This window comes from Homo sapiens, chromosome 1 (genome assembly GCF_000001405.40).
Source record: "Homo sapiens chromosome 1, GRCh38.p14 Primary Assembly".
NCBI classification, from domain to species: Eukaryota; Metazoa; Chordata; class Mammalia; order Primates; family Hominidae; genus Homo; species Homo sapiens.
This window is the reverse complement of record NC_000001.11, coordinates 27396187-27413312: the sequence shown is the minus strand read 5'-3', so window position 1 is coordinate 27413312 and position 17126 is coordinate 27396187. Positions and strand designations below refer to the sequence as shown.

The 17126-nt window shown below is 51.7% G+C and overlaps 1 protein-coding gene across 2 annotated transcripts in view, besides 4 other annotated features; it reads left to right on the top strand.

Annotated features, from left to right (window-relative positions):
- WASF2 (WASP family member 2) overlaps positions 1 to 9083 on the top strand; it is an 85938-nt gene extending 76855 nt beyond the window's left edge. Inside the window, exons 7-9 of one of the 2 annotated variants that reach the window (NM_006990.5) lie at positions 586 to 741; positions 3107 to 3621; positions 4967 to 9083. In NM_006990.5, the coding sequence (NP_008921.1) occupies positions 586 to 741; positions 3107 to 3621; positions 4967 to 5124 (829 nt within the window). In that variant the 3' untranslated portion in view covers positions 5125 to 9083. The remainder of the gene's footprint in view (positions 1 to 585; positions 742 to 3106; positions 3622 to 4966) is intronic. The other variant, NM_001201404.3, reaches the window with a different exon arrangement.
- Positions 7814 to 8108: a silencer, noted in NCBI's record as "tiled region #8314; K562 Repressive non-DNase unmatched - State 14:Gen5'". NCBI's record gives its function as "represses a minimal TATA promoter and a strong SV40 promoter by Sharpr-MPRA in K562 cells {active_cell/tissue: K562}" and the evidence as "EXISTENCE:reporter gene assay evidence [ECO:0000049][PMID:27701403]".
- Positions 9731 to 9800: an enhancer, noted in NCBI's record as "active region_548". NCBI's record gives its function as "activates an Ori minimal core promoter by ATAC-STARR-seq in GM12878 lymphoblastoid cells {active_cell/tissue: GM12878}" and the evidence as "EXISTENCE:reporter gene assay evidence [ECO:0000049][PMID:35858748]".
- Positions 10841 to 10920: an enhancer, noted in NCBI's record as "active region_547". NCBI's record gives its function as "activates an Ori minimal core promoter by ATAC-STARR-seq in GM12878 lymphoblastoid cells {active_cell/tissue: GM12878}" and the evidence as "EXISTENCE:reporter gene assay evidence [ECO:0000049][PMID:35858748]".
- Positions 13214 to 14166: an enhancer, noted in NCBI's record as "H3K4me1 hESC enhancer chr1:27725651-27726603 (GRCh37/hg19 assembly coordinates)". NCBI's record gives its function as "activates a minimal SCP1, AML or CMV promoter by ChIP-STARR-seq in naive H9 embryonic stem cells {active_cell/tissue: H9 hESC(naive)}" and the evidence as "EXISTENCE:reporter gene assay evidence [ECO:0000049][PMID:30033119]".

Below are 17126 nucleotides of genomic sequence, written 5' to 3'. Positions count from 1 at the left end.
AGCCCTAGCACGCTACTTTAATCGTCAGCTCATTTGGTTTGATAAGAGACCTGGCAGAAAGACCACATTTACTACCACATAGCACCCTGCATTCATCCTCAGCTTGATTTTGCAATCCAGTGCCTCCTTGGCCTTCGAGCTCTCCAGAGGCTTGCTGACCTCAAAATCAGTCTGTGTGCCAGTCACGTGTTTGCAGCTCACTAGCCTCTGAGACTTGGCTTCACATTTGTCACAGGACAGACTTTGGGATTCAGGTATATCTGCACCTGACACTGGGGAGAGAATTTAAAAGAACTGCTGGGTTTGACAAGGCCAACACTGGGCAAGGAACAGCATGGTTTTGATAATCTGGGTTGAATCCTGTTACTACAAACAATTCAGCATAAATATCTGGGATATATTTGACAATAGAATATTTAGTCTTAAAATAAAATTTCAGTGTAACAGAAAATATGTGGGAAATATACCTATTTTACTTCTCCCTAATAGCTTTTGTATCAAATGCATTTTTGTAGTACCTTTTAAGAAGAAAAAACCCACTCAGGCTCTTTAAATGACAGTTTTTGGCATTCGGTTCATTGTCAGGTATCCACCCACTTTGGTGTACCAGAATGGCAGCATTGGCTGTGTTGAAAACGTGGATGCAAGTAGCTATCCGCCACCACCACAGTCAGACTCTGCTTCTTCACCTTCTCCTTCCTTCTCCGAGGACAACTTGCCTCCTCCACCAGCAGAATTCAGGTAAATGGTGGTACCTACTCCATCCACTATTGGTAGTTATACACTTGAGAACAAAAGAATGGACCAGGAGCAGTGGCTCACGCCTGTAATCCCAGCTCTTTGGGAGGCCAAGGTGGTGGGAGGATCTCGTGAGGCCAAAAGTTCAAGACCAGTCTGGGTAACATAGCAAGACTTCATCCCTACTAAAAATCAAAAAAATTAGCCAAGCATGGTGGCAAACGCCTGTGGTCCCATCTACTCAGGAGACTGAGGTGGGAGGATCGCTTGAGCCTGGGAGGTTAAGGCTGCAGTGAGCCATGATCATGCCACTGCACTCTAGCCTGAGTGACAGAGCGAGACCAAAAACAAAAACAAACAAAAAGTTAAAACCCTAGGTCAAGACCACTAAAATAACTTCAAACAAGACTGTCTAGATAATAGAAATAATTAACACTGTATGTATATGTTGCTTAATTCTCATAGGAGTCCTCTTTTGAGGTAGGCACTGTTACTATCCCCATGTTACAATGAGTAAACTGAGGCACAGAGGGGTCAATGAAATGACCCAAAGGTCACAGCCAGTAAGGGCAGAGCCCTGATTGGTCAGTTGAACTCCAGAACCTATATTCTTAACTACTCCTGTTTTGCCTATACCGAAACAAATGGAAATCACCAGCTTCTTTCTTGTTTTTTCCTTAACTTTATTTTATTTACTTATTTATTTATTTTTGAGACGGAGTCTCACTCTGTCACCCAGGCTGGAGTGCAATGGCGCGATCTTGGCTAACTGCAAGCTCCGCCTCCCGGGTTCATGCCATTCTCTTGCCTTAGCTTCTCGAGTAGCTGGGACTACAGGCACCCACCACCACGCCCAGCTAATTTTTTGTATTTTTAGTAGAGACAGGGTTTCACCATGTTAGCCAGGATGGTCTCGATCTCCTGACCTCATGATCCGCCCACCTCGGCCTCCCAAAGTGCTGGGATTACAGGCATGAGCCACCATGCCCAGCCTTTTCCTTAGCTTTAACTCATCATGAAATGAAGTGGTACAATCTGCTGTCCATGATATAGTTAGCAGTTACCTTGCCCAGTTGTCTAGGAACCTAGCATAGAGTCACTTCCTCTTAGTGCTTCTGGTTAGTTTCACTGCTGTGTCAAATCTCCAGAAACAATGAAACAAAGGGAAAAGGGGGATGAAACTCCAAATTCGTCCATTTTGATATTTGTGCATGTCCCTGGCAGAGGTGTACAGTGGAAGTGTTAGGCAGTAATGACTGAAAAGAGATCTGAGAATTGTTCAGATTGCACTGTTTTCTCCGTTACTTTTGTCCTTTCTGATGCCTGATAAATGAGAGCTTTGAAAGGTGCACTTTTCTCCTTGGGTACTTCTTAATTAGAAATTGAGTATGTTGAGGACCCCTCGGATGGAGACCTAAAGCTGTGCTGTCCTCCTTCTCTCCCCTCATTCTTCTTGGCCCTAGAAACCATTAATCCCAAATCTCCTTCTGCTTCCCAAATCACTTCCTGCTGGTGGCCCTGTCAGATGCAGCTAAGGCTGGAAGGTCTGTGGAAAATTCCAAAATGGCTGCTTTTCTAAGGAGTAGCTGTTAGTGCAGGGTAGATACAAAGGTGGAAAAAGAAAACCTTCAGCTTCACACATGGCCTGAGACCTTGCAGCTGCAGCCGAGCAAATCTGATCCCAGGAGAGGTGTAGCTTTAATCCTCTTTCAGGCCTGGGTCAGGAGTCTGGTGGCACATTCATTTCCCATCTCTGCAGATTCTCGGATTGAGATTCATTCTCTCTCAAGATTTCCCCACATGAGCACTGAAGATGCATTCACCTAAATCTATATCCCACTCAGGTGTGGTCAGCCTGGCTTGGGTTTCCTGCCCTCTCCAATGCTGGTGAATGTTAATAGCCTGAGAAACAGAGCCTAGTGTGTGGGTGGTGTTTGAATTTTTATTCCAGTTCTTTCTTGCATGCACCCTTAAACTGGCTCCAGGATTAAACTAGCAACTGCCATGGACCATCCTTCTTAGGGAAGGGGAGGGAGGGTGCCTTCCCCTTAGAGCTGGAAAGGCAGAGGGGGCCGAAGAGATGTCTCAGCTAGCCTGTACCTGATAGAGGAATCTCAAGTCCACTTCTTGCAGGTAGTTTTACTCAATCTGTCTATCCTCCTCTACTGGTGGGAAGCTCATTACCTTAAAAGGCTGCTTATTTCATTATTGGTCTGTTATGACCATCTGTAGGCTTTTCTTTCTGTTTAAGTGAAAGTGAAATGGTATAGTCAACCAAGATAAACCTCGGTCTGTAGACAAGGCTAACTGTAGATAGGTGTCTGCATTCTAAGGGTGATGGTGAGTCTTTTTTTCTTTGGCCTTTTAGTTACCCAGTGGACAACCAAAGAGGATCTGGTTTGGCTGGACCCAAAAGATCCAGTGTGGTCAGCCCAAGCCATCCACCACCAGCTCCTCCTCTAGGCTCTCCACCAGGCCCTAAACCCGGGTTTGCTCCACCACCTGCCCCTCCGCCACCTCCGCCTCCAATGATAGGCATCCCACCTCCACCACCGCCTGTAGGATTTGGGTCTCCAGGGACGCCTCCACCACCCTCACCCCCATCTTTCCCACCTCACCCTGATTTTGCTGCCCCTCCACCTCCTCCTCCACCACCAGCAGCTGACTACCCAACTCTGCCACCACCTCCCTTGTCCCAGCCAACAGGAGGAGCACCTCCTCCTCCCCCTCCTCCTCCTCCTCCGGGGCCCCCTCCTCCCCCTTTCACTGGTGCAGATGGCCAGCCTGCTATACCACCACCGCTTTCTGATACCACCAAGCCCAAGTCCTCCTTGCCTGCCGTGAGCGATGCCCGTAGCGACCTGCTTTCAGCCATCCGTCAAGGTAAATTTCAATGGTGGGTTTGGGACTGTGGAGCCTTGTCTTTCTGAAGCTGGGATGACTGATTGGGGGATGGGTGAGGGGGTCCCTGTGCCCTTCCCAGGAAACGGCTTTCATTGGGTGGGGAGAGATTGGGACATTAGGCCTGGGAGCAGCCTGAGAAAAGGCTTCACCCTAAAAATATGGAGATTTAGATTTCTTTCCACCTTGGTTTAAAGTAAAGGATTCTTTTCTTTTCTTTTTTTTTTTTTTTTTTTTTTTTTTTTGTGGGGGACAGAGTCTGGCTCTTTTGCCCAGGCTGGAGTGCAGTGGCTCGATCTCGGCTCACTGCAAGCTCTGCCTCCCGGGTTCACGCCATTCTCCTGCCTCAGCCTCCGGAGTAGCTGGTACTACAGGCGCCTGCCACCACGCCCGGCTAATTTTTTTGTATTTTTAGTAGAGATGGAGTTTTACTTTGTTAGCCAGGATGGTCTTGATCTCCTGACCTTGTGATCCGCCCGCCTCGGCCTCCCAAAGTGCTGGGATTACAGGCGTGAGCCACCGCGCCCGGCCAAAGTAAAGGATTCTTAAGCTGGGATCTTTGAAGTCCTTGGAAATATATGCTTATGTGTGTTTGCATGCATTTTTTTTTCCTTGGGGAAGGATCCCCATTTTTCATCAGTTTCTCCGAAGGGTTTTGTGCCTTCGAAAAAAAACAAGAATCACTGTCCTAGTGGGTCCTTGTTCAACTGGACTCAGCAACTCCCCAGCCTTCTCCACTGCTCTGCCCTTCGTGTCTTCCTTCCTTGCCCCCTGCCCTCTTTCTAACTCCTTTTTTCTCCCATTTTCTTTTATCTCCTCTTTTCTCCTCTTCCCTCCCCTCCCCTTCCCTCCCCCTTCATCATCTCACCCTCCTGGAACATTGGAGCATTTATTCTATCAGGGGCCAGGTCTGGTCCCAAGGTGTTATCGTGGTTTGTTCTGTTTGTGATCCTCAAAAAACTTCTAATCTAGAGAGGACAGTCTATGGCAGCTGAGCCCCATTATAATTGATGGAATTGGGCAGGCTGAGGGTCTGCTAGATGGAATGTGGTGGCTGCTCCCCACTTCAAAGCCTTATGAGAAGTCCTCACCAGCCTGAAAGTGTGTAAACCAGAAAGGACAGCAGGCTGCCTTTCAGACACACCTGTGACATCAGGGCCATCAATTTCATAAACTCATCTTCTTCTGCTTTTCCATAACAACCTTCTTTTTCTCTATCCTTTCCAATACCACTTACCCATTGGTGGCCACTCCCTCTTACCCAGTTCCAGATGGATTCCAAGGCTGAGGACACGCCTTCCTCACCCTTCTGTCTCTTTGCCACTAGGTTTTCAGCTGCGCAGGGTTGAGGAGCAGCGGGAACAAGAGAAGCGGGATGTTGTGGGCAATGACGTGGCCACCATCTTGTCTCGTCGCATTGCTGTTGAGTACAGTGACTCAGAAGATGACTCCTCTGAATTTGATGAGGACGACTGGTCCGATTAACTCTTTCTGCCTGCTGCCCACCTTCTTTTTCTTTCCTTCCTACCTGCCTTCTTTGATGCCAACCCCAACAGACCCGTAGGGGGAGAAAAGGGAGGAAAAAAGTAATTTTAAGGGGCCAAAGCTTTCCCTGAAGCAACCAAAGATATATCCAAGTGCTTCCTCCAAGTCAACATGTATTTCCTCTCCCCATTTTCAGGCCCTGTGGGGCTCCTGAGGTTCAGTAGCTGGGATGTTCCCTCTTTCCTTCAAGTGCCTGTTGCATATTGAAAGGAAGGAGAAATCCCAAAGCAGATTCCTTTGATCGGGTTTCTGTTGGAGATGGGGCTTCCCTTAGGAGCCATATTCAACTACAGCCTTCTAAAACCTGTGCCCTCAGCCACTTCGAATGCCAGCCACCTTCTGGTTCTAAAACGGGGAGTGGTCTGAATGAACACAGCTGACCCCTTTCCCGCGCACTGAAAGGGCAGAGTAGGCCGAAGGGTCCAAGGGCCAGACTGCCTCACCCTCTGCCCTAATCAGCAGGGTGGGCCTGCCTTTTGCTAAGCGATCTCTATGCCTGGGATGCCCTTTATTCCAGGAGGCATCAAGCCTCTAAAGAATGTCTCACCTCCTCTGCCCAAAAATGATGCCTTTCTGTAGGCTGGTGTTGTTGCCTCCCTCCCAGGATCCCTTTGGTGAGTATGGTGTTCAGGATGCACCACCACCACCTCTAGATACCTTCAGGCAACACAGCCCAGTTTTAACCTCTAGTATCCATGACCAAACTATCCCTGACACATGAGGACAGGGGCCTCTTCTGGCTGTCAGGAGCAAAGCCTGAAGACTTGGAGCTGCAGGACTGGAAGAACAGTGGAGCCCCGTGGGTCTCACCCTTTAAGGATGCTGAGGCCTAGAGATGGGAAGTGACTTGCTCAAGGTCACACAATTGGATAGTGACATAGCTAGAGCGCAGAGTTCCTGATTCCAAGTCACCTGTGCTTTCTGGGACCAAAGAATGGGCACCTGCTGGAGTCCGGGCAGAGCTTTCTCAGTTGTATTGCTACTCCAGACCTCACCATAGGTTGGGGTCCCAGTAGGAAGGCTCAGGGTCTGTGCCAGCCCTGTCGGTGCTGCTCAGACCTTCATAGCCTCTCTTGTCATTCTTTGTTGCCCCTTTTCTGTCACCAGCCAACCACATAGCCTTGGGACCAGCCTCTCTGGGGGACCAGAAGTAGTGAGAGAAGGAAGGGGATAGGCAGCTTTGACAGGTGCTGCTTTCAATTCCTCTGCAACTCCTCCCCCTTTTATTTCCCCAATTTAAACAAAGATTCTGCCAACTGTGGAAACTTCAGTCCCTCAGGCTGGCAGCCATGCCAGTACCTGCCTGGGGGTGGGGGGTGCCTGGCAGCCATGAAGCAGGCTGAAAGGCAGAGGGGCTCCAGGTCCTGTTTCCAGCTCCCCTCACTGCACATGGTGAAGCTCGCTCCCTCCCTCCCTCCCTTCCCGCTTTTCCCAGAGCTAATACACAGGTGCTATTATTCAGAAAAAAACTGGTCAGCTCTAGCCAACAGTGAGGTTTCTTTTCTTCTGCCCTAACTATTGTGTAGCCTCTTATGCTGAAATCGGCTTCTGCTGGCTTCTCCGGCTTTCAGAGCCCTGAAACAAAGAGAAACAGGATCTGTCCCTACCCAGCACAGCAAATGGTTGTAGTAATTGCCAAAGCCCTCATAAAGCCCTCCGGCTTGAGGAGAGAGTGTATAGTCATGGGTTCTGCCTCTGTGCCCTTGCTGGCCGCTTCTCCTCTGCCTTCTTTCCTGGAACTCAGGGTGTGGGGACTGAGCCTGTAGGGGACAGCATGCCGTCTTGCTGTGGCCACTCCCAAGTGTGCCCTCTTCCCTCTTTACACATCAGGTGTCTCTGGCACAGGACTTGGCACTAAGCTCCATGCTGAGACACCAGGCTATGTGGGCCCCCACCTTGTTTCCCAGCCTGCACCTTAGAAGCCGAAGGTGCTTTCATCAGAACCCTAAAATGGTCGTTGAAGGCGCCTGGGCCGCAGCCCAGCAGTAGTTGGAGAGGCAGGCAGAGGGCAGTGGTTCTCCCAAATAGGAGACCTGGGGCCTGGCCAGGCCAGGGTTTGGGCCTAATGGCTTTGACTAAATTACCCCCATCCTCCTTGCCCGGAAAAGGGAGAGCTAGAGCCACTCACTGTCATTCTGCTCTGACCTTGAAGGGGGCGGTGTTGGCCTGGCTTCTGGAATGGACTGAGTCCATCGTGGAAAGGGCTGGGGGCAGGAGGAGGTGGGGAGGGGCACTGCCTGCGGAAGGTAGGATTAGATCATTAGCTCAGTGACCTCCTAGGGTTTCGATGTGCTATGTTCTCATCCTACAGTTGGTTTGGTAATGATCTGCAAGTCCCGGAGAGCAACAGCACAGCTCTGCCTGACGCTCTCATTAAAATCTATGCAGCCAAGCTCGGCACTTTGTAGCAGCCGGCCTTGCGAAGCCTCCTCAGCTCGGGGGGCCGGGGACCCAGTGAGCCGAGAGGCCCTCTGGGCTCCACTTATGCATATGCACCAAAAAAAAAAAAAAAAAAAAAAAAAAAAAAAAGGCTTCTTTAGACCCAGAGCCCTTTAAGATGATAAAGGACCCAATGCAGGTAATCCTGTTTTTGGACTCACGTAATGTAGAATGCAAAGTTTAGTGATTATTTAATCTGGGCCTAAGCTAGTGAGAGTATGGAACAATGGCCCATAAGGACTCCTAAGCGCCGAAGCCAAGGAGCCTCCTCCCTTCCTGGTTCACCCCGCCCAAGGGACCTGCCCCCATTCCTGTGGCCCTGGGGCCCAGCTTCCAATAGTGTCAGAAGCAACTTGTGGCTTTGCCTTGGTTGTGAGATGGGTACATTCCAAAGGAGCAGCCTGGGGGAGGGGGCAGGCTCAGCCAGCCCTTGGAGGCTCAGAGCAGCTGGCCCAGGCTCCAGCTCGCCTCCAGTGGAAGCCCGAGCGCCCTCAGAAACGACCCTGGCCAATGTCAACGCAGAGCCGAGGCGGTGTTGTCACGGCTAATGTGAAATCTCTTCCCGTGGCGCCCATCCTCTGACTCTGCAGTGCCAGCTTGGACAGATTGAGGTCTCTGTGGCTTTGGTGACCCTGCTTAAGCATTCCCACCGTGTCCCAGCTCTGCTCTAGGACTGCCTCCCACTGCGGCCCCTCACCTGACTTCAGGGTATGGGGAGGGAGGGAGCCAGTGCTCCAAGGCCAGGGGGCTTTGCTCATGAGAGATGTCAGGCTTCCTGGAGGCATCAGGCTTTGAGCCCTGCTGGGGTCCAACTGACCTGGGACCAGGTGTCGCGCAGAGATGTGCCTCATTCTGTGCCTCCTTCTGTGCCTCCTACCATGTTCCCTTTAACTGTGCCTCAGTGTGGGTTAGGGAACAATTTTGTTATTGTATTAAGTTTATTCAGTTAATTCACTTGAGGAACTAACCAGTTTTTACTTTCTGTCTAGAATGATGTACATGTAGTAGAGTAAGCCATAATGCTCCCAAAGTGCCTTGTTTTCTCTGATACAAACATATTTATAAGGACATATTCCTGTGGGTTCTTGGGTGTGTTTGCCACATCAAGATTTTAGGGAAGGGGGGTATATGTGTAGTAGGGATGCCGTTTGAAAACAGGCACTCTTCCCCTGAGGATGGGAAAGGAGCTCTTCAGTTGGAGATCTAGGCAGTGGGTTAAGCCAGACCCCTAAAGTGACCCTTTCCTCTTCTGCCCTATTCTTCTCAGACCCTCAGAAAGACATCCAATTTTTTTAAATCCCTGTAGCTCCAAGCCTGGTCTCATTTGCTTCCCTGCCAGGCTCATCGTGTGTATACCACATTTGTGCCCCACTGACCTGAAGGTTCCATGTAACTGTATACACATGAATACTTAAATGCCAACATTTAAAATAATTTGATAAAGTCTTTGTAGCCACTCAGCCACCTCTGGTGTTTGTGGTATTGTTTTAATGGGACAAGAGATTAGAAGGAAATGACACTAACAGCCACAGGTGGTGGCCAGAGCTCAGGAGGGGCTCCAGTGTGGGTGGGCCTAAAGGGCAGGAGGCTTTTGGGTGTGGAAAGTGCATTGTGTGCAGAGGTGGAGAAGGCTGGAAACCATTTCAGTTTAGGAGGAGACCCAGGTTGGAGGACCTGCAGACCCAGATACCCAGTCCCCTTCTCACCATGAGAAAGGGGGTGTGCTGGGGCCTCAGGAGACAATCTGCTGGCAACTGTTTGCATCAGGCAGGAGAGGAGTACAGGCTGAATGCTGATGCTGCGCCCAACATCTGGCCGGCATCTTGTCTGCCTCTCAGACCCAAGCAACTTACCTTAAATAGAACGATTTACAATGGAATCCGATAAAAGGTTTAGGCTGCTGCACGCCCCTTCTCCTGCCTGAGGAAGGCGAGGGGGCTGGGTTTGTATTCTGACCCAAAAAATGACCTACCCAGGAAGCAACGGTTGTTCCGAGCACAGCTGCTGCGGGTAACTGTCCCTGGGGGTAATTTATGAGCAGACACCCAGTTCCGGGCCCAGCAGACACAGTGTAGTGGCCCCCGGGAGAGGGGCGGGAGCAGAGTTGGTGACTGCGGGTCACGCCTGCTGTTCGGAGAGAGAGTCACCCACTGGCATCCCAGGAGAGGCGGCAGAAGTTTTGAATTGTCAGCAACTGCTGCGCCAGCCGCTCTGAGCTCATCGCTGGAGGTGGTGGTGCAGAGAAGGGGGCCGCGGAGCCAGTTCGCCCTTGCAGAGCCCCTTTGCTCCACCCGCCTGCTCAGGCCTGTGTTTAGTCAGCACTTGGCTTCCCTAGGCCGGTGACTGACAGGCAGCCAGACACCCGCCCTGGCAGAAGACAAAATGGTGGTTCGGGAGCCGCCCTTGCTAGGGAATTGGAGGGAAGGAATGTGGCTTTGGGAAGCAAGAGGCCTGAGCTTGAATTCTGGCCCTGCCACTCGGAAGCTGTGACCCTGTGCAAGTCGCTTCACCTCCTTGGGCTGATCCTGAGAAGAATAAGCATTTATTGAGCGCCCACTACCTGCCAAAGACTGCATATCTTTTATTTCATTCTTAAGAGGCAAGGGTCCCCCATTTTACACAGAAGAGAAACAGATTCACAGTTGCCTAAGATCACATAGCTGGCCAGGAACAGAACGTGGTTCAAACACAGGCCTCTCTCTAGCCAGAGCCCAATGCTCTGTTTACCATGCAACTGAAACGGCTTGAGTCTCCATCCAAAATCATTGAGGGCTTTAACGTTGTAGGGAGCCTGTTAAAGGTTTCCATTCTTACCTGCCCCACTCCCTGGTGCCCAGTTTTATAAGGGCAGTGAACGGTGATGGTCATTTTTGCTCTCGCTTTGAAATCAAGTGAGCTTGGCTGAGGGCCTGGCTATCCCAGACCTTTAGAGCAGGAAGTGCCTGCACCCTTGGCTACCTAAGAAGAAAGTGGGTTCCCTATAGGTATGGGCTGGGGCTTCACAGAGACACGTGAGTGGGCACATGAGGACCGGTGCACATATCGTGCACAGATCCCTGTTGTTTGCACAAGGACACAAACCAGCACATGATTTCAGGAACCCATAATCGCAGGCAGCCCTCACACATTCCTCGGGAGCCGCCCTCCCTACTTGCTGCCTCCACCAGTTCCTCACTGCCCCCTCCTGGCTGCCCAGTGGCCAGGGCAACCTGGCACCATTTCCTGGAAGTTCTGCTCGGGGCTAGTTGTCAACCAGTTCCCTCCTAGATCATGGGGCTGGGAGCAGTTTCAGGTGCTCCCACTGAACTGCCCCTCAGCCCCAGGAGGTGTGGGCGCTTAAAGGGTGCTCTTGAAGCTTAAGGACAAAAAGCCTTTCATGGGCCAGGCACGGTGGCCTACACCTGTAATCCCAGCACTTTGGGAGGCCAAGGTAGGTGGATCACTTGAAGTCAAGAGTTCAAGACCATCCTGGCCAACATGGTGAAACCCCGTCACTACTAAAAATACAAAAATTAGCCAGACTTGGTGGCGTGCGCCCGTGGTCTCAGCTACTTGGGAGGCTGGGGTACAAGAATCGCTTGAACCCGGGAGGTGGAGGCTGCAGTGAGCTGAGATTGTGCCACTACACTCCAGCCTGGGCAACAGAGCGGGACTTCATCTCAAATAAATAAATAAATAAATAAGCCTTTCACATCCAAAGGAATCTTTTATGGGAGAATTGCCAGTCCCTTGATGACAGGGAGAGTGGTTAATATTTGGGGCAAGGGGTCCTGCCTAGCTGCCTTCCCTGCCTTTACCTAAGAAGCTGTCCGTGCATGTCCACGGTATGCACACACGAGCTCACACTGCACACATCATTAAAAAGGAGCAGACTTCCTGGCTGAGAAGTCAGAGGTCAGATCTAGCTCCCACCTTGGGCCTCAGCTTCCTCACCTATTCAACAAAGAGTTGACTGTGATGATGTATGTAGCCCCTCCACTCTGGCGTTGCACCATCTTGGGAACTGATGCCGCTCCCAGAGTGTGTGTCTTGGAAGGATTACAAATACAACGCCTTTTGTTCTATTTTATAGATGAGGAAACAAGATACAGAGAGCCACAGCAACTTGCCTGAAGTCACACAGCAAGCTAGCAGCAGACATGGAAATAGAAACTTTTTTTCCAATGCCCTAGACTGCCTACAAGAGAGCAGAACACCTTGTGGGCTTGAGCCACAGCCAAGGAGACTGAAACTGCAAGGGAAGCCAGAATCTCTGGCCTTTTGTGTTGGAACCATGACAGGGTCCATGTGGCTGCCTGAAGGCTTAGGGGGAGTCCAGAGGAGGTCCCAGGACCTCTCCCCAGGAGGCTGGGGAGAGACAGGTTGGAACTTGAGTGGGTTCCATCACTCCCTATCCCCACCAGTAGACTGAGCAAACCTCAAGCTTTTATGTAAAGCCAGAGGCTAGCTAAAGAGGGTTCTCCCTAGCGTGCGGCCATTTGGTAGCTTGTTCATCAGGGCATATACACGCATGTGAGCGGTGTGCATGGATGGATGTGCATGCATATCTGGACTCCACATGTATAAATCATAATGTGGATAGTAGTTGGATGTTGGTGCATGCCTGCAAGCACACTTAGAACCTTCATGGGCATGTGTAATGTGTAAGTGTATGTGTTTGTGAGCCCATATACATGCAACTGCATTCGTGTGTTTGGATGTACATATATAAATGATGTCTGCATATCTGGCGGGTGACTATGAACATATGAAATTTTGCTTGCATGCATACTTGGTACATTTATGAGTGTACTTGGGTCTGTGCAGATGTTCACCTGTTAGTGTGCCAAGTGGGGTGGAATATGTCTGCACACATGGCTGGTGAGTGTGTGTAAATGTGCATGCAGGGCTGGCTTCAGGTGACTGTGTAGATAATGAATCATAGGAGTGCCCTCCCAAGAGAGTATGAAGCCAGTGTTCTGCCCAGCCCTGGAATAGGGGGTGCACTACCTGGCTCCAGCCAGTCACAATGCAGGGCTTGCAGTACCCCCACCCTCACCCTCAACATGCACAGTATTCCCTAGACCCATCCTGCTTGGCCAATTTGCAGCCTCTTGCTCCCAGCTCCTGAGAAGGCCTGCAGCAAAGTCAAGGGGCTGGTGGCCAATTAGCGAGGGGGTTAATCATGGATCGGAGGCCCCCCGGGGGGCGGGAAGCTGAAGGCAGGCATTGGGGTTGGCAGGGCCATGAGCTGCCTGTGATGACGCAAGGAGAGAGGGAAGACAAGGAGCGGAGGTTGAGCCAGCCCGTTGGTTCTGGAAACCGAGGGTCAGCCTGTAAATTCAGGATTGCTGAGCACTGCCAGCAGCGGGGAACATTTGCAAGTGTGTGTACGCTGTGTGTGAAAGGGCGTGCACATGCATTCATTCAAGTCCTTGAATCTGGTGCTGCATGCAAATGTGTATACATGACTATGGACATTATATGCAGTGCGGTTTTGTGTATATGTGGCTGTGCTAATGGGTTTAGGTATGCATACATGGTTGTTGTGCCTGTGTACACACACACAAGGGTGTGTACATGTGTGCAAGGGCATGTACATTGAAGTGTGTGCTTCAGCACTAAATATGCACAGAAAGTTGACATGGTCAGTGTACACATGTGCAGTGATGTATCTGTGTGCACAAGTGTGTGTGTGCTAGTGTGCAGGTGCATCTGGGTATACCTACATACATGTCTGCCTGTGTGTGTGTTCTCAGAACAGCCAGGTGCCTATACATGTGTGCCTGCATGTGACATGAGTGTGTGTCTGTGCACGCAGGTCTCAGCATGGAAGGAGCTGGGGGATGCGGGACTGGCGGTCTCCAGGCTCCAGGAGGGAATCTGACAGCCGAGCCTTGCCGCAGCCCCCAGCCCCGGGAGCCTGTTTTCCAGCCTGCGGAAGCTGTGAGCCCGTGAACTCATCTTATATTAATAGCTACTGTCTCCTCACTTATTGCAAGGAGAGGCGGACATGGCCCCGGCAGGGGCTTAGCACTCAGGGCTGCCCCCACACACCCACATAGGACCAAGGGAGGCGGGGAGGAGAGATGGGCTCCAGCCCCATCCCAGGGCCTACCCCAGCAGGAAGGTGGGGCTCTTGGCCCTAGCCTTGCCTCCCCCAATTCAGGGGGCCACGTCACCAGCTGACCTTCCTGGACCCCTGTAGTTGGGAGGGATCAGGCATGGGGGTTGGAAAGCTGTCAGAGGCAGAGAGGCTGGGAGGTGTGGCTACCCCTCCCCAATTACACACAAGCAAATGCGCGGGCGCGCGCGCACACACACACACACAAAGCATGCGGTGCTGAGCAGCTCCAGGCTGTGGGCACCAGAGGACTCTGAGGCTTGAAGGAGACACAGGAGGCCTCAGTCTGAGTGGGGAAGACACAGTCCTACCCTCAGGGATCCTCAATCTGAGGCAAAAGACATGACCCTGTTCTCAAGAGGCCCCCAGCCTAAGGGAGGAGACAGCTCTGCTCTCAGAAGTTCCCAGCCTGAGGGGAGAGACATGACTTTGTATTCAGGAGCCCCTAGTTCTGAGGAGAGAGAAAGATCTGCCTTCAGGAGCCTTCGGTTTGAGCAGACAGACATCCCTTCTCTCAGGAACCCTCAACTGGAGGAAGGACACACAGCCCTGTCTTCATTCTGAGGAGGGAGGGAAGACTTCTCTACAAATATTTACTCAGGGGAGGTGTAGTAAGGCATATTGTATGGATCACATTCTCACAGCTACAAAAGGGCTCAGGCAGGGAGGCTTCCTGGAGGAAGCATGGAGTGGAGGTACTGGGAAGAAGTGCTAAGCTGATCTGCAGAATCCTGGGAGGAGGGAAAAGCCAGCCAGCCCCACCACACACACAGGAACCAACCTGAGGGACAGATTCAAACACCCCTCAAGGTAGGCCCAGGACCCAAAGCAGAGACCCCAGATCCAGTCTGCCAGAAACACCTCAGCTCCAGCCCACAGCCACCCCCAGAGAGACAGAGGAAGCCCCTCAGTGCAGGGGCCCGACACAGGCCCTCCCAGACACAAGGATGGCGGCAGGTCCCTTCTTGGGCCCTGGAGCTGGAAGCTGGGCTGGGGAAGCAAAGGGCTGAGACTCACCCAGGGTAGGACGGGCACCTGGCCTCTCTCCTCTGGACCTTGGTGGGGCTCCTCAGGAGCATGATGGTGGAGGCAGCAACAAGGCCCTGCCCTGTGCTGTGCCTCCAGAGGTCTGGGTTTAACCTGGAGACCCCCTGCTTTCCCCCAGCCTGGGGATTTACCCCAGTTTCCTTGCTTGATGTTTCTGGGTTGTTCCTGAAACACGCTCCCTCATCCAGGAAAGAAAGAGATTTAGAGTCAAATGGGCCTGGGTTCAAATCCCAGCTCAACTCCTTACCAACCCTCTGACTTTGGACCAATCCAATGTCACCTCTCAGGGAGGCTTTTCCTGGGCACCCTAATTTAAAAATTACTCACACCCTCCCCATCCTTCTTCCCCTGCTCTTTCTCTGAGGACTTACCACTGTGTAATATTACATTTTGGGAAAAACTTTGTATTACTATTTCCCCCAGCTAGAATTTAAGCTGTCCACAAGGACAGCAGTGAATGAATGAAGGCCCATTACTCTTGGAGCCTCAACTTCTTCTTTTGTAAAATGGGGAGGAGCAATGGTACCCATTTGACAAAGCCACGGTGATGGTATGGAATGTTTGGCGTGGGGGAGGGGCCTGCTGAGTAGGGACTTTTCCCAGGGACCTGTCAGGAGGGTGGGGATAGAATAAAGCTTGGCCTGACCTGGTGCGGCCTCCCTGCTTTGTGCCTGGGCCTATTGGCATGACGACTCTCCTCAGACTACTGGGAGGGATTTTTTTGGTTGGGGGGTGGGGACGGAATCTCACTCTGTTGCCCAGGCTGGAGTGCAATGGCGCGATCTTGGCTCACAGCTCACTGCAACCTCTGCCTCCCGGGCTCAAGCGATTCTCCTGACTCAGCCTCCCAAGTAGCTGGGATTATAGGCTCCACATCCGGCTAATTTTTTGTATTTTTAGTAGAGACAGGGTTTCATCATGTTGACCAGGCTGGTCTCGAACTCCTGACTCAGGTGATCTGCCCGCCTCGGCCTCCCAAAGTGCTGGGATTACGGGCGTAAGCCACCACACCTGGCCAAGGGAGGGATCTTTACACCAGACAAAAGGGCTCTAACTCTGCCAGGGAAATGGAGAAAGGCCTGTGTCCTAGCCTGGCACAGCTGTGCGAGTTTGAGCAAATGGTTGCTCCTCTTTGGGCCTCGGGCTCCTGTCTGTATGTGGAGGGGTGAGCCAGAAATGCTCCAAGAGCCCCACCTCCAAGCTTTGCCCAAAAATAAGGCTTGGGAAGCTGGGAGGCTTGGCCAATCAAAGCTTCCTCTTCAGCCACACCCCAAACCTGCTGCTGCCCTGGCCTGATAGACACATTCTTTCTGGGGTCAGCTTCCTCTCCTCAAGTACCCAAACTCTGGGTCCTGCACACATATGTCCCCAAAGGCACACACTGATAGTCACTCACCTTTGCGTAGAAAAGCTCTTCTGACTCCAAAATGACCAGACCCCCTCCGACCACTTCCCAAATGTGGCCCTAAAAATGAACCCCAAAATAAATCAGGGTCCAGCTGGGTGCGGTGGCTCACGCCTGTAATCCCAGCACTTTGGGAGGCTGAGGCGGACGGATCACCTGAGGTCGGGAGTTCGAGACCAGCCTGGCCAGCATGGTGAAACCCCAGTCTCTACTAAAAATACAAAAATTAGCCAGGCGTGGTGGCAGGTGCCTGTAATCCCAGCTACTTGGGAAGCTGAGGCAGGAGAATCGCTTGAACCCAGGAGGCGGAGGTTGCAGTGAGCCGAGACCACGCTATTGCACTCCAGTCTGGGCAACAGAGCAAGACTCTGTCTCAAAAAAAAAAAAAAAAAAAAATCAGGGTCCAGAATGTCCTAAGCTCCAGGCTTGGGAAGGAAGGAAATCACTCACTACACAGCACAGATTCTGGAAACAGATGTTCCTGGCTCTACCATTTTTTAGCTGTATGGCCTTGGGCCAGCTGCTGTCCCTCACTCAGCCTCAGCTCCCTCGTTTGTAAAATGGAGAAGACACTACCGGTGCCATGGGATGCTTATTAGGCATAAGCGAGGTAGCATGTGTGCCAGACACACAGTAGGCACCCATGATTAGAAGGACCTATTATTGGCCAGACGCGTTGGCTCACGCCTGTAATCCCAGCACTTTGGGAGGCTGAGACGGGTGGATCACGAGGTCAGGAGATCGAGACCATCCTGGCTTACACAGTGAAACCCCGTCTCTACTAAAAATACAAAAAAAATTAGCCGGGCGTGATGGTGGGCGCCTGTAGTCCCAGCTACTCGGGAGGCTGAGGCAGGAGAATGGCGTGAACCCGGGAGGTGGAGCTTGCAGTGAGCCGAGATCACGCCACTGCACTCCAGCCTGGGGGACAGAGCGAGACTCTGTCTC